Below are 15097 nucleotides of genomic sequence, written 5' to 3'. Positions count from 1 at the left end.
GAGGGAGTCTCAGTCTTTCACCCAGGCTGGAGTGCAGTGGCACTATCTTGGCTCACTGCAACCTCTGCCTCCTGGGTTCAAGCGCTTCTCCTGTCTCAGCCTCCCAAGTAGCTGGGACTACAGGCACACGCCACCACCCCCAGCTAATTTTTGTATTTTTAGTAGAGGTGGGGTTTTGCTATGTTGGTCAGGCCGGTCTTGAATTGCTGACCTCAGGTGATCCACCTGTCTTGGCCTCCCAAAGTGCTGGGATTACAGCATGAGCCACTGCGCCAGCCAAAAGCATACGCTTATGCTGGGCTTGAGATGTCACACTTTGCCTACTCCCATTATTCTAATGTCCACTTTAAGGTTATTAAAATGTCCTAAGATCATTCAAGACAGACCAGTCTACATCTTCACTTTATTATCCCCAAGCCCTCAGAGATGCCACAGCTACTGAGAAAAGGTCACCTAACACTTCAGAATCAGAAAGTTCTGCAAAAGCCAAGGGCTCTTCTAAAAAGAGACCACATTGCAACTGCTTCCCGTACATGCCCGTCAACTAATGTGATCACAGAAGTGTTTTAGAAACAGCTTTTATCTTACTTGGTTTTCTCCTCATCAAAGGTTTTCAATTTAGTTTTTAGACATTTTAATTTTTCTTGAAAAAGAATCCCCCATTTTATAATTGAATCCTGGCGCTGTCATTTGCCAGTTCTGTGGTCTTCTGCAAATAACCTGTGTGCTTGTTTCTTGCCCCTGCCAATGGTGCCTACAAGACTTTTGTTTCAATGAAATGAACGTATGTGAAAACTTCATCACAGGGTTGCCGGGCGGGCGGGGAACCGGGTCTGCGCGCCAGCCGGGCGGTGGGCGCGGACAGGGCCGAGGGCGCCCGGGAGCCGTGTCAGGCGGCGGCGAGGAGCGGGCGCGGGGAGCCTTCAGCGGCCGCTCGCTGCGGGGACACCCCGGTGGATGAGTTCTCGCTGCCAGGGGCACGGCGTAGGGGGCCTCGGCAGGCGGCGGCGGCGGCGGCGGCTCGGGGAGCGAGGCGGGCCGAGGCGCGGGCGTCTGAGCGTCTGAGCGAGGCCGGGCGCGGCGGCTTCTCTCACGCGCCCCCCGAGCCAGCGCCCGCCTCCCGCGCCCGCCTCCCGCGCCCGCCTCCCGCGCCCGCCTCCCGCGCCCGCCTCCCGCGCCCGCCTCCCGCGCCCGCCTCCCGCGCCCGCCTCCCGCGCCCGCCTCCCGCGCCCGCCTCCCGCGCCCGCTTCGCTTCTCCCGTCGACCCAGACCATCCGCTTCCACCGCGCCCCCGGCCCACCTGGTGGCCCCGGCCCTGGCCGCCGCCCCCGCGGCGGTTCCCGGAGCTCGTCCCGGACGCGCGCCCAGGCGGCGGGGGCTCGGCAGCCACCGCTGCCTCGGGGGAGCGATGGCGGGAAGGCGTGTGTGCGCGATGTGAGCAGGGGGTGCCGGCGGGGCTGCAGCGGAGGCACTCTGGAAGAATGACTCTGGAGTCCATCATGGCGTGCTGCCTGAGCGAGGAGGCCAAGGAAGCCCGGCGGATCAACGACGAGATCGAGCGGCAGCTCCGCAGGGACAAGCGGGATGCCCGCCGGGAGCTCAAGCTGCTGCTGCTCCGGACAGGAGAGAGTGGCAAGAGTACCTTTATCAAGCAGCTGAGAATCATCCATGGGTCAGGATACTCTGATGAAGATAAAAGGGGCTTCACCAAGCTGGTGTATCGGAACATCTTCACGGCCATGCAGGCCATGATCAGAGCCATAGACTCACTCAAGATCCCATACAAGTATGAGCACATACAAGTATGAGCTCATGCACAATTAGTTCGAGAAGTTGATGTGGAGAAGGGGTCTGCTTTTGAGAATCCATATGTAGATGCAATAAAGAGTTTATGGAATGATCCTGGAATCCAGGAATGCTATGATAGACGACGAGAATATCAATTATCTGACTCTACCAAATACTATCTTAATGACTTGGACCACGTAGCTGACCCTGGCTACGCAACAAGATGTGCTTAGAGTTCGAGTCCCCACCACAGGGATCGTCGAATACCCCTTTGACTTACAAAGTGTCATTTTCAGAATGTTCGATGTAGGGGGCCAAAGGTCAGAGAGAAGAAAATGGATACACTGCTTTGAAAATGTCACCTCTATCATGTTTCTAGTAGCGCTTAGTGAATATGATCGAGTTCTCGTGGAGTCAGACAATGAGAACCGAATGGAGGAAAGCAAGGCTCTCTTTAGTACAATTATCACGTATCCCTGGTTCCAGAACTCCTCGGTTATTCTGTTGTTAAACAAGAAAGATCTTCCAGAGGAGAAAATCATGTATTCCCATCTAGTCGACTACTTCCCAGAATATGATGGACCCCAGAGAGATGCCCAGGCAGCCCGAGAATTCATTCTGAAGATGTTCGTGGACCTGAACCCAGTGACCAAATTATCTACTCCCACTTCACATGCGCCACAGACACCGAGAATATCCGCTTTGTGTTTGCTGCCGTCAAGGACACCATCCTCCAGTTGAACCTGAAGGATTACAATCTGGTCTAGTTGTGCCTCCTAGACACCCGCCCTGCCCTTCCATGGTGGGCTATTGAAGATACACAAGAGGGACTGTATTTCTGTGGAAAACAATTTGCATAATACTAATTTATTGCCGTCCTGGACTCTGTGTGAGCGTGTCCACAGAGTTTGTAGTAAACATTATGATTTTATTTAAACTATTCAGAGGAAAAACAGAGGATGCTGAAGTACAGTCCCAGCACATTTCCTCTCTATCTTTTTTTTAGGCAAAACCTTGTGACTCGGTGTATTTTAAATTCTCAGTCATGCACTCACAAAGATAAGACTTGTTTCTTTCTCTCTCTCTCTTTCTCTCTTTTTCTTTTCTATGGAGCAAAACAAAGCTGATTTCCCTTTTTTCCCCCCTAATTCATACCTCCCTCCTGATTTTTTTCCCATGTTACAATGGCCTTTATCCTAGTTCCATTCTTGGTCAAGTTTTTCTCTCAAATGTTACAGTCAGGACACATCGTTCGATGTAAGCCATCATCAGCTTTATATAAGTTTGTAGTTTTTGCTGAAGGATTATATGTATTAATACTATGGTTTTAAATGTGTTGCTCTGGATACACACATGGTTTCTTTTTTAATAGAATATACTGTCTTGTCTCACTTTGGACTGGGACAATGGATGCCCGTCTAACAGTTAAGTGTCATTTCTTTTAGATGTTTACCTTCAGCCATAGCTTGATTGCTCAGAGAAATATGCAGAAGGCAGGATCAAAGACACGCAGGAGTCCTTTCTTTTGAAATGCCACGTGCCATTGTCTTTCCTCCCTTCTTTGCTTCTTTTTCTTACCCTCTCTTTCAATTGCAGATGCCAAAAAAGATGCCAACACACACTACATTACCCTAATGGCTGCTACCCAGAAACTTTTTAGAGGTTGTTCTTAATTTTTTATTGTTGTTGTTTGAGCTTTTCCTTTCTTTTTTTTTCCTTAGTGTTTGGGCCACAATTTTAAAATGACTTTTATTATGGGTATGTGTTGCCAAAGCTGGCTTTTTGTCAAATAAAATGAATAAGAACTTAAAAAATAAAAGCTGGTATCTTAAAATGTAAGAGAGTAAGACTGTGAAGCCTAAAATGACTGGCTGAGAATGAACCAGAAATGCCAATTGCCAAACAGTTGGAACTGTAAATTTGATTCTCACGGTCCATTCTTTTCTTTGTCCTTAAGATGACGTTGTTAGTGTTCACGTCCCATGTTCAGTGTCCAAACCGGCAATGTAAAAAGTATCTTGTGAGGTTTAACAGGAAATCTGTTTATGTCTCTTTATTTGAAACCAGTTTTACTCTCAATGGTTCTTTAAGTTCAATTAAGTCTGCCAGGAACATTGGTTGATAGTATTATTCTGACACCTTTAATTTCCTAAATCTGAAGTTCCTGCTAGTTTACCACCTTCAAGATCTTCTTGAACTGGTAACTGATTAGGTTGAACTTACGGAAGATTTGTGGACTTAAAAGTAACCTCTCAGTGTTCTATAGAACATGTATTTGTGTAACTGAACCTACCAAGAGAAATGTTTGGAATTCTATATGTGCAATTTTTCAACAAATGCAAAAAAAATACAGCACATGTATTGACAAGCTTCTGTCAAGCAGCTTGAGTTGAAATTTGATTTAAGAAAATAAATCATGATTGTTTAAAGCTGCTGGGACGTCAGAATTAGGCCATGATACTGGTCTCATTTTAACTATAGTGCTATTTGGCACTAGTCTAAACTTCCATATAAATCACTGTTTTGGAACAACAAAATGGGGAGGGAGAAAAATCACGGCCTGTTAGATGAGTACCAAAACCACCAAACAGTAATGAGATGTTCTCATCCTTGATTCTCCCAGCCTCAAACAACACAGGTTACTTTTTTTTCCCCTTGCTCAGAAAGCACCTGTAATTTAACAAACAGACTGCCTGCAGGTATAGTGCAATTACAAATGCTCTAATCATTGTACGTACATCTCTCTTGATATTGCAGCATCCATACTGGCTTTGTAATCATTAATTTTTTGGCAGATTGAATGTGCTGTATCGATATGTATCTATGTAATTGTATGTCTATAGCTAATTCACATTTTGAATAATGTTATTTTATTTACTTTTTTAAGAGAGGAGAATGTAAATTTGTCAGTTTATTTCTGACTAGGGATATTTTCTTTCTATTTAGAAAAGAAGAAAAAAAAACCTTACTGTCATACAGAACGGTACTAGCGTCATGCTGTATAAAATCATTTGCACATTCCTGAGTAGAGGTATACTGATTATAAGATCCAAAGGTAATTTCATAGCAAAATACATAAAATCAGTCGGAGCTTTTATACAAACATGGAAACCAACTTAGTGGCACTTTTGCTGTTTGATCTAGGATTGGAATATGAGCTTTTATACAATTCATATTCTTATTTGGCAAATGCACAGTTTAGTATTACCTCTCTGATGGCCTTTACTAGAAAGGCAGTTTTAGAAGCTATTGTGATCCACTAAGGAAATGTTTTAACAGCTAGAGACCACTGCTTGCCTGAAAGGGCGTTCTTAAATTTGGTGCATCAAAAAAAAAAAAAAATTAAACAACAACATTTGAAGGCCTACAGTGTGTATAGAGAAAACCTCATCACAAGATCATAAGTGTCACGGTTTTAGGGAATCAAGATATTCTATTTAATAGAGCTATAGTAGATGTAGTCAATTAAACCTGATCTCAAAGCTTGAAGAAGCTGAGCAAAACAGGGAAAGATTGTTATATTGGTCATTATGAAATTGGGATGGAATTTGCTATGCAGAATTGAGGTTTGTGGCTTCACTGTTCCTGTAGGGTGCATGACAAGATCCCTTCTCTTGAGGAAGGACAAAATTGATCACCCTAGCAGCAGTGATGCATAGAAACCTAATTTTAGCCACACCAGTCAATCGAAGCTAAAGGATTTTCTTTTTTGTTTCTTTGGGGTTTTATTGAAGGGGCTAGGGGCGGGATGGGATTCTCTTCAGTTTTGTATAAAAACAAAGTTTACTCATGCTTTATATTATATTGTGATTGCAGGCGTTATAAGCGTGTGCCACTGGCCTCCTATTGTTGATGCTTAGGTAATGGAGGCCTGTGGTGAGTTTTATGGTGACTTGGGCATGTCTTATTGAAAAACAAAAACATAAAACACAGAAACCTTTCGTCTGCATACCAAGGCAAGCAGCCATTTCATGACTGACTTAACACATTGCAGTGTAGCAGTTTACAGATGATTTTTCCCTTTTTGCATGACATGGCAGTTCTAACCCCCAGAGAATTCCTTATTTGTAAATTGGAAGTTTCTACTATGCCTTACAGAGCTTAAATTCAGAAGTTTGTGCCTCATATCTGAAACAAAGGGAAATAACACACCCATTCAAAAGTAAATAAATCTCCTAGAAGTTCTTGTTTTTAACATTTCCATATAAAAAGCCCTGTTGAATGTCATGAATAGACTGGAAAAAAAATTTTTAGGAACCTGCATATGTTGTTTACTAGCAGATGACAACTACAAAAGGAATTTGAAGAACACGTGAAACTTGTTTTTTTTTTGGTAGATTAACTAGCAGGCCTATTTTAAAAAGGTAATTCAGCTAAAGGGCAATTTACTTTTTTGTACTTCAGACTATCTTGATTGTCAAAGTGTACGAACTGTAATTTTAAAATTTATACTGCCACATGATTGTAAATTTTAGTTGTCTTAAGTTAGGAATTGGTGAAAAGCTATTTATGCTGGATTTGGGTCAAAATGACTTATTTGCAAAAAAAAATAAATAATGGGAAGAAAGGGCTGCATAATGACAGAAAAAAAAAAAGCTTCATCACATACTGAGGACTTTCCAAGTCACCTGGTACATGATAAGTGCTTGACATAGGGTAGCTGTTACAATTGTTGTCGATATTAGTATATTACAGCAAAAAACTTGCTTTAATTCTCACATTAGCTGAACAGCATAAAGGGTGAGATGATTTGGTAGTCATGCTGACAAATTGCTTTCCAGCAGTGGGAAGGGAGGCTGCAGGAACAGCAGAGAACAATTCGGGACAAGAAGAAAACAGCAGGGTGCACCAGACGTAGTAATCCCCTAAAACCAAAGGGAAAGCCGCCCGCTCCCACGCAGTAAAACTAGGAGTATCCAGGAATGAACAAACCCGAAAAGAACGTGAGCTGTTTTCCAAAACGGAGACCTCCTCAGAGGATGAGGCCGGGCATTTCCTGGGACAGCCTGTGTTAAGACCACGTGCCCCTTGCCCTAACAACTCACTGTAGTACTCTTCATAGACACATCTTGCAGCATTTCTCTTAATACTATGCTTGTTTTTCTTTCTAAGCCACCACAAGCCATAGTGATAGGTTTGCCCTTTGGTACAAAAGGTGCATTAAAACTGGTGGAAAAGGCTTACTGCATTCTGGATAACCTGTGTGCATACTTTATGAAATCTCTTGTGTGGGGAAAAAAATGCTTTTTACAATTTGACCTAATTATATGCATTGTAAAATAAACACCATTATTTCAAACAAAACACCTATCTTTTTACAATATGTTTTATTTCTGTTTGAATTCTGTTGTTACAATGTTAGTGTTTTAAAATGTGATGGAAAATATAATGCTTCTAAGGAGGAAAGCCAGTGGAATGAATGTTTAAAAGATCTTCATGTGTTTACGGTCTGCAGAAGGATTTTTGTGATGAGAGGGGATTTTTGAAAAATCTAGAGAAGTAGCATATGGAAAATTATAATGTGTTTGTGTGTATATGTGTGTGTGTGTTTTACAAAGATTTCTGCTCTGTTTTTAGCCAGAAACTCTAAAAACTAAAATAATAACAAAGAAAAATAAATAAAAGAGAGACAGAAGTGTCTGGATTCCTGTTTCCTGGTTACCCTGCCATGGTAGACATTCTTTCATTTCATGATCATGATTCTTCTTGTCAACACCGTTTTGAGCAGCACCAGAAAGTGACTTTGTCCCATTAGGACTCAGGTACTAATTAGTCGGCCAACTCTCAAGTATAAGAATAGCCAGCCAGGCGCGGTGGCTCACACCTGTAATCGCAGCACTTTGGGAGGCCGAGGCAGGCAGCTCACCTGAGGTCAGGAGTTCGAGACCAGCCTGACCAACATGGAGAAACCCCGTCTCTACCAAAAATACAAAATTAGCCGGGTGTGGTGGTGGGTACCTGTAATCCCAGCTACTTGGAGAGCTGAGGCAGGAGAATCACTTGAACCCGGGAGGCGGAGGTTGCAGTGAGCTGAGATCATGCCATTGCACTCCAGCCTGGGCAACACAAGCGAAACTCCATCTCAAAAAAATATATATATTGGCCTTTTGCTAACACAGTAAGCATGTATTCTCTATAAAGCATTCAATAAACGCACAATGTCAAGAGGAATTAAAATCCTATCTAATCCCACTCACCACTACACAGAGGTAATCACTGTTAGTATTTTGACATATAATTCTCCAAGTGTTTCTTACGCACTTCTAAAATGATTTGAACAAATAAAATTAGGAGCCTACTATACATGTGTTTCCTAACCTGCCTCCTTCACTCGGTCCTTATTGAGATCAGTTTTCATGTCAAGAAGGTGGATACCACCTCATTTCTAACAGCTGTGTTATATTCCATAGTAGGCATTACTCAACAAACCCTTTGCTCTTGGATACTTAGTTTATTTCTTCACTGACCACACTGAATAAACATCTCAATAGCCAAACATCTGTGCACATCCTTCATTAGTGCCTTGGGATAAGTTGGTTTAAATAGCATTGTTGGGCCAAGGAGTATGCTCAGCAAGGAAAATTATTCATCATGTTGTCAATTATGCCCCAGAATGCTTGGACCATCGGTGTATGGAAATGCTGACTTTCAACCCCTAAGATTGTTTCTCCCTCCCCATATTTGTTATACATTTAAAGTTGGAACTGGTGACCACCTTGGGCAAGCTGCCTCCCTTCATCTGTGAGCCATCAGCTAACAACATTCTCAGCACTTCCAACACTGCTGGCAGCTGGGAAAATGAGTGATTTGAGCATCTCAAAGTATATAGCTAAATGGATGGATGGATAGATGATTGATTTCTTAACTGCCGGAAATGCCTATGCAACCTCCTCTATTTTTTAATGACTCACACTTAATAATAATCCCACTTAATAATAATATAAATCACAATAATAATCACACTTAATAATTATTATTATTACTTAATAATAATGTAACTGGTTAACTAGAGAAACTGAAGAATTAATAGCAGAGCTGCCAATAGATCTTCTCTGCCTTGCCTCCTTTTAAGATACATGAGAACCTACAGAAATAGTCTTAGCTTTTACTTTCCAGTTCTAAACAAATGCAGACTGACCATACTTTTGGTTTCTTTCCTTGGATACCTATAAAATTATTCTATTCTTACAACAAAACCCCTGGACTTGTACTAGCTTGAGGGTGTTTCCTGTTGGGGGAACCTGTCCCTGAGTGAAAAAGAAGGGCAGTTTTTTGTTTTTTGTTTTTTTTGAGACAGAGTCTCACTCTGTAGCCCAGGCTGGAGTACAGTGGCACAATCTTGGCTCACCGCAACCTCTGCCTCCCAGGTCCCTGTTCAAGCAATTCTCCTGCCTCAGCCTCCTGAGTAGCTGGGATTGCAGGCACGCATCACCATGCCCAGCTAAGTTTTGTATTTTTAGTAGAGACGGGGTTTCACCATGTTGGCCAGGCTGGTCTTGAACTCCTGATCTTGTAATCTGCCCACCTTGGCCTCCCAAAGTGCTGGGATTACAGGCGTAAGCCACCACACCCGGCCGAAGGGCCCATTTTTACCACAAGTTTCTATCTGCTATTATCACCAATTCAAAAAGCAAAAATAGTTATTTGGAATCATGGAAGGAAACGGTTGAATGAGACCTCAGAAGTTACAATCTCGCTTGTTGGAGAAAGGCTGTGTGAAAGTTCATCTGACTTCTCGCACATAGTTAGAGACAGATCTGGGCCCTCGAGTCTTCTGAATTTTAATTTGACAAACCAAAGTGTACTGATTTTTTGGTAACATAAATCTGGGCTGCTAGGGGGACTACTTATTTAGCATCATAAAAAGAGCAATGGGATAATGAAATTTCTGTTTCTTGTTATAGTCTGATATACGCTAATACTAATGATATTTCCTAATGGAAAATACTTTTGAAAAGCATTTTTCCCTGAAATATGTATTACATCATAATCAAAGACATGTCAACCAACAATATCAGTTAATTGTCAAATTTGTGACTTAACTGATAAGGAAGCATGCCATGTTCTCCAGATGAATGAAGCACCCAAGATAAGAGTATCTACTTTAAACTACCCTAAAGAAGATGCTTAAGCCTAGGATAGCAATGAAATATCCGCCTTTATTATTCAAACAACAGAGATAAGCAAGCAAATAAAACAAAAAGACCGCAAATCCCAAAGTAGCTACTCAAAATGTCAAAGTTAGCATTTTGGTGTGAATCCTCCCAGGCTTTCTTTCTGTTTTAGTGTTTAAACTTAGTAAGGCAGCATGAAAATTTCTCCATATAAAGAAACGTAACAGTATGTTTATATTGCACAGTTGCATAGTGTAGATGTATGAGTTTATTTTACCAATAATTTATGAAAACCGACTTTTAAATGTGGTTCCCAAGACATGCCAGGGTAAGACAGGTTTCTGTGACACAAATAAATTTCCGCCATTATTGAATACTCAAGATCATAAAAAACATTGGCATAAAAAAGTGCAAGGCTTACATGTTTTCTGTATTTTGTCTAATGAACATGTGTTGCTTTTATAATTATCAGATACTACAAAAATATTATCAGAGATACATATAGAATGTAGTTTGGTTTAAAGTCATTTAGACATGCTAACTTGAAAACTATACCCTTGATCATATGTGTTTTCACCTGGGTCCTCGGAGAAGCAAATGCCAAAACAGAATTAAATGTGCAAAATGCCCATGAGAGAGAATGGGGGGCGGATCTGGGTAGGGCTGGGAGAGCTATCAGAGCACAATGGATGTCCACCATGAGTGAAGGAGACAGGGAAGAGAGAAGGAATGCTGGGTGGAAGCATTCCGGATTGCCGCAATGTCAAAGAAGGTTTGGCAAGGCTGTTTGGGAGTCTTGAGCCAGTCATCTGTCAAAGGAATCCCTCATCTACCAGGGGCAGCTCTAAGTATCTTGGTGTGCTCAGTCACTGACTGGGAGCAACCCATAGGTAGAGTGGTCTTGCTGCAAAGGTGGCAATGAATTTCAGAGTGCAGGGATATAACAGAACCCTTGTCAATTATGGCTCCTGTCCTGTAGTTGGAGGTTGTGATTCTCATTCTCACAGTCATCACAGTATGACAATCATAAAAACATTAAAATTTGACCACTACGTTTTCTAGCACAATCTATAAAGTAGTGTCAAGCAACAAAATGTCTCCGTTAATTTCTGTAATTGGCAGCCACACACAATTTAATCCCTAAACCTTGGACTTTTGTCTTCATGCCTTTTCATGTCTTTTTTATTTCAAATTTATTGAAGACAGAATACGTTGATCACACTATAGATCTTACAGTATTTATTTGCTCTGCTACCTGAGAGAAATCTTTTTCCACTAGAATGTAATAAAATATTTTCAAAAAGGTAATTAATGGCAAGAACAAAGCCATAGTGTATAATTTTGCCTTTACAGCATAGGTCTAATATATTAGTTGTGATATTTATATGAGAACAATTTTATAACCAAAACATGCACCTGCAGTATCTCAATGAGAACTACTTTATAGTGGCCAGTATGGCTCACTTTAATGATGTAGTATGAAAAGGGAAAAGAAGCCAGGCACAATGGCTCACTCTTGTAATCTCAGCACTTTGGGAGGCCGAGGAAGGTGGATCACCTGAGGTGAGGAGTTCAAGACCAGCCTGGCCAACATGGAGAAACCCTGTCTTTATTAAAAATACAAAAAATTAGCCAGGCGTTGTGGCACACACCTGTAATCCCAGCTACTCAGGAGGCTGAAGCAGGAGAATCACTCAGACCTGGGAGGCGGAAGTTGCAGTGAGCCGAGATCGCGCCATTGCACTCCAGCCTGGGCAACAAGAGCAAAACTCCATCTCAAAAAAAAAAAAAAAAAAAAAGAAAGAAAAGAAAGAAAGAAAAGAAAAGGGAAAAGAATATACTATACTAACAATTAAATTTAGCTAACAGAGAGGATTCATAATCGGAGAACTATTTCTAAATTTCATAAAATTATGAGAACTTGAATAATATAACAAGATGTAAAGACCTTAAGCCAAAAAAATGGTATTATAAATAAAATTTCATCATGGTGCCAAAAGAAATCTAAAATAACATTGTTAATTCAAACTGATGGATTTTTAAAGTTCATTAACATTTTCATAATAACTCTAATCATTTAAAATATTTATTATGTCATTGAATTATTTCAGGAGCTGAAAATCATGTGGACAATTCCTGAGTCAATTTTCTCCCTTTTTGGAAAGCATAAAATGTCCCACTTTGGCGGTCATCCAAAGTAGCTTCCAATGGGTCAGCAGGTTGAGACATAGTACCGACAGGTGTCAGTGTCAGAGATCCCCTTCAGTGTGCAGAAAGGGGGCCACGACAGTCCAGCTAGAGGGCTGCAAATAGAGGACAGCATATTTTATAAAATCTGTCCATTTTCCACAGGGCATGCCAGGAAGGTGCTGGAGAGCATTAGGCTTGAATCAAGAATGCTTTGTGTGTCCTGTCATGGAACAGGGCTGGAGGGACTGAGTGGGGCCATCAGACTCTGGCTTTAGGGTCAAGGTGCATGACTGAGCCAGTACTAGAGACTGTTCTGTCTGGGGGAATTCATGCAGACATTGACCTCATCCCAGCAAAATCCTCCTAATCTGTTTGGCTGTTGGGATAGAGGCGCTTCCTGCACAGGGGTCCCATTGCCTACTTATTGAGCCTGTCCCTGAATTCAGACCCACATCCCACCAAATGGGTATCTCATCTCTTGACAGTTCTCAGCCCCAAGCTCCAAGTTTTTCCACTGATTTTTCAGTCTTTACTTGCCTCAGCCACAATGGTCCAGGACATGATTTTACTGCCTAAAGTCCAGCTAAATTTCAAGACCAGCCCACTAAGCTGAGGCCCAGGTGACTTTCCAGCCTTTTAAAATCTTTCTTCCCCAGGGGGAAGAAGATATTTCCAGGTACTGCCAACCCCAGTCCTTGCATGTCTGCCTCTTTGTTGCTGTGTTCCACCCACTAAATTCAATCCCCTTGAGACCAAGATGAACTCAAATTAAAGCTTAATCGGATCGATCTCTTTAGATATTATTAGATTTCTGGCTACTTACTTCAATTAGAAAGAAATGGCCTTTATGGCTTGTGTACGAAATCTTTGTACAGAATTCGTCACATATAGGCACAACTGAGTGTAGCTTGCCCTCTGCTGGTGAAATACAGTATCACGTTCAAGAGAGTTTTTGTTTGTTTTTTCCAACGCATTCAAAGAGCCGGACCACTCTTGAGGCAATAGCAGTGCACAATCATATTGTTAATACCCAAATACTATCAGGCCATGTAAAGCAGCAGATAATAATATTCAGCCTGCAGGAGCAGGGAAGGTTAAGGAAGTGTGGGAAGTGAGATATTTACTGTACTTATTTCTCTACACAATCTAAAGGAAGCCAATAATTGATTTACTTTTTTTTTAATGCATTCTGGAAAAAAACTGAGAAATATCCTTACTGATAACTCCCATGTACATAACTAGATTTTGTATAATTTAACGCTGTTCACAAACATTATGTTTCTCAAACATTATGTTGGAATATGAAAATATTAGAGTAATCTGTTACTAATGCTGAAGGATCAAAGTTTGTGGGTCTTTTTTTTTTTTTTGAGATGGAGTTTGGCTCTTGTTGCCCAGGCTAGAGTGCAATGGTGCGATCTTGGCTCACTGCAACCTCCGCCTCCTGGGTTCAAGTGATTCTCCTGCCTCAGCCTCCACCATGCCCGGCTAATTTTGTTTTTTTTTTTAGTAGAGACAAGGTTTCTCCATGTTGGTCAGGCTGGTCTCGAACTCCCGATCTCCGGTGATCTGCCTGCCTTGGCCTTTCAAAGTGCTGGGATTATAGGAGTGAGCCACTGCACCCGGCTGTAAGTCTTAATTTTATTAATGTTAGAGTTAAGAAATTACTTAAGAAAGTTAATCATTCAACATTATTCTCACTCGTCTGTAATCCAGTACGTTCTCCTGAGTGGAATGGAAAGGAGGGTGTCACAGCTAACATGCTGGGAAGTGCATATTACTCTAGCTATGGGCTTAAGAGCATGCCACTGCAGAAAACGTCATTCAGAATACATCGTTAGAGAGAAAACAAAAACAAAATTGGCTTACTACCTCCTATCACTGGGGACATCTGCATTATCTTACCATCAGGGAGTTAGGCACACAGCCTGCATTGTCCTGCAGCTTGCAAATTATATAAATGTATATGCCAGCTTTTCAGAGTTTTCTGCAAGAAAGTTTAGAGTCAAAATTTCGACCCATTTTAAATAGGCAGTATATGCATTTGTATTTAACTCTACTCCTGGCTTTATTTGATCTCTCCTATTGTCTTCTTCTCCACATTCCATGCTCCTCCCCGAATTATCTTGTTGCATGTTGTGTGCATTTATATACATTAAGTCTTTTGATTATATGTTAATATGAACTTATGTGTTATCTTCTCAAAGTTCTAGAAAAATAAAGATTGCATAATAAAATAAATGACAGTGCTGTATATTAATCTCTAAGTAAGCAGTTACCAGTTTCCATATTGGGAGTTTTGCACACAAATCAGAACAGGGAGATGGGCCTTTTTCTTTATCTATAGACAGCCTGATTGAGCAAGTAAGCAGTCACAGAACATTTACATAATGAACAAACATTTGTGACAGGGTCAAAAACAGTAACTTGTGAGCAAGCACAGCTTTCTACCCAACTCATTCCAGGATTCAGAACTGCTGGTTAGGCCAAAGGTGAGAAAGAGAATTGGAAGGGGCTGAGAAAGACACCAGGACTGATTGAGCAGCTCCTTCTGAACATGACGGACAGGCTGGAGTGTTAAGGGGGCTGTGGGGTGGCCTGGGGGAGCAGCTGGGGGTTCAGCAGGACTCTCAGGTCAGAGATGCCCAGGAAAGAGATTAGGGAGCTTGCTGTTATTGTTATATTTTGTTTAAAAAAATTCCTTTATTTTAAAATATCTCTTTAAGAGCTTTATTAGAGGCTTACTTTTTTCTTCAAAAAAAATTTTTTTTTCAGACGGAGTCTCGCTCTGTCGCCCAGGCTGGAGTGTAGTGGTGCCATCTCGGCTCACTGCAAGCTCCGCCTCCCGGGTTCACACCATTCTCCTGCCTCAGCCTCCTGAGTAGCTGGAACTACAGGCACCCGACACCACCACGCCTGGCTAATTTTTTGTATTTTTCTTTTTAGTAGAGACGGGGTTTCACCGTGTTAGCCAGGATGGTCTCGATCTCTGGACCTCGTGATCC

At 41.7% G+C, this 15097-nt stretch overlaps 1 pseudogene, besides 1 other annotated feature; it reads left to right on the top strand.

Annotated features, from left to right (window-relative positions):
* GNAQP1 (G protein subunit alpha q pseudogene 1) lies at positions 1209–3906 on the top strand (annotated as a pseudogene).
* Positions 12222–12468: a silencer, noted in NCBI's record as "fragment chr2:132171454-132171700 (GRCh37/hg19 assembly coordinates)". NCBI's record gives its function as "represses an EF-1alpha promoter that drives an FKBP-Casp9 reporter gene in an ReSE screen in phorbol 12-myristate 13-acetate-treated (for megakaryocytic differentiation) K562 erythroleukemia cells {active_cell/tissue: K562(+PMA)}" and the evidence as "EXISTENCE:reporter gene assay evidence [ECO:0000049][PMID:32094911]".

This window comes from Homo sapiens, chromosome 2 (assembly GCF_000001405.40).
Source record: "Homo sapiens chromosome 2, GRCh38.p14 Primary Assembly".
Lineage (NCBI taxonomy): Eukaryota > Metazoa > Chordata > Mammalia > Primates > Hominidae > Homo > Homo sapiens.
Note: the sequence above shows the minus strand (reverse complement) of the source record. Positions and strands in the feature narration are given on the sequence as shown.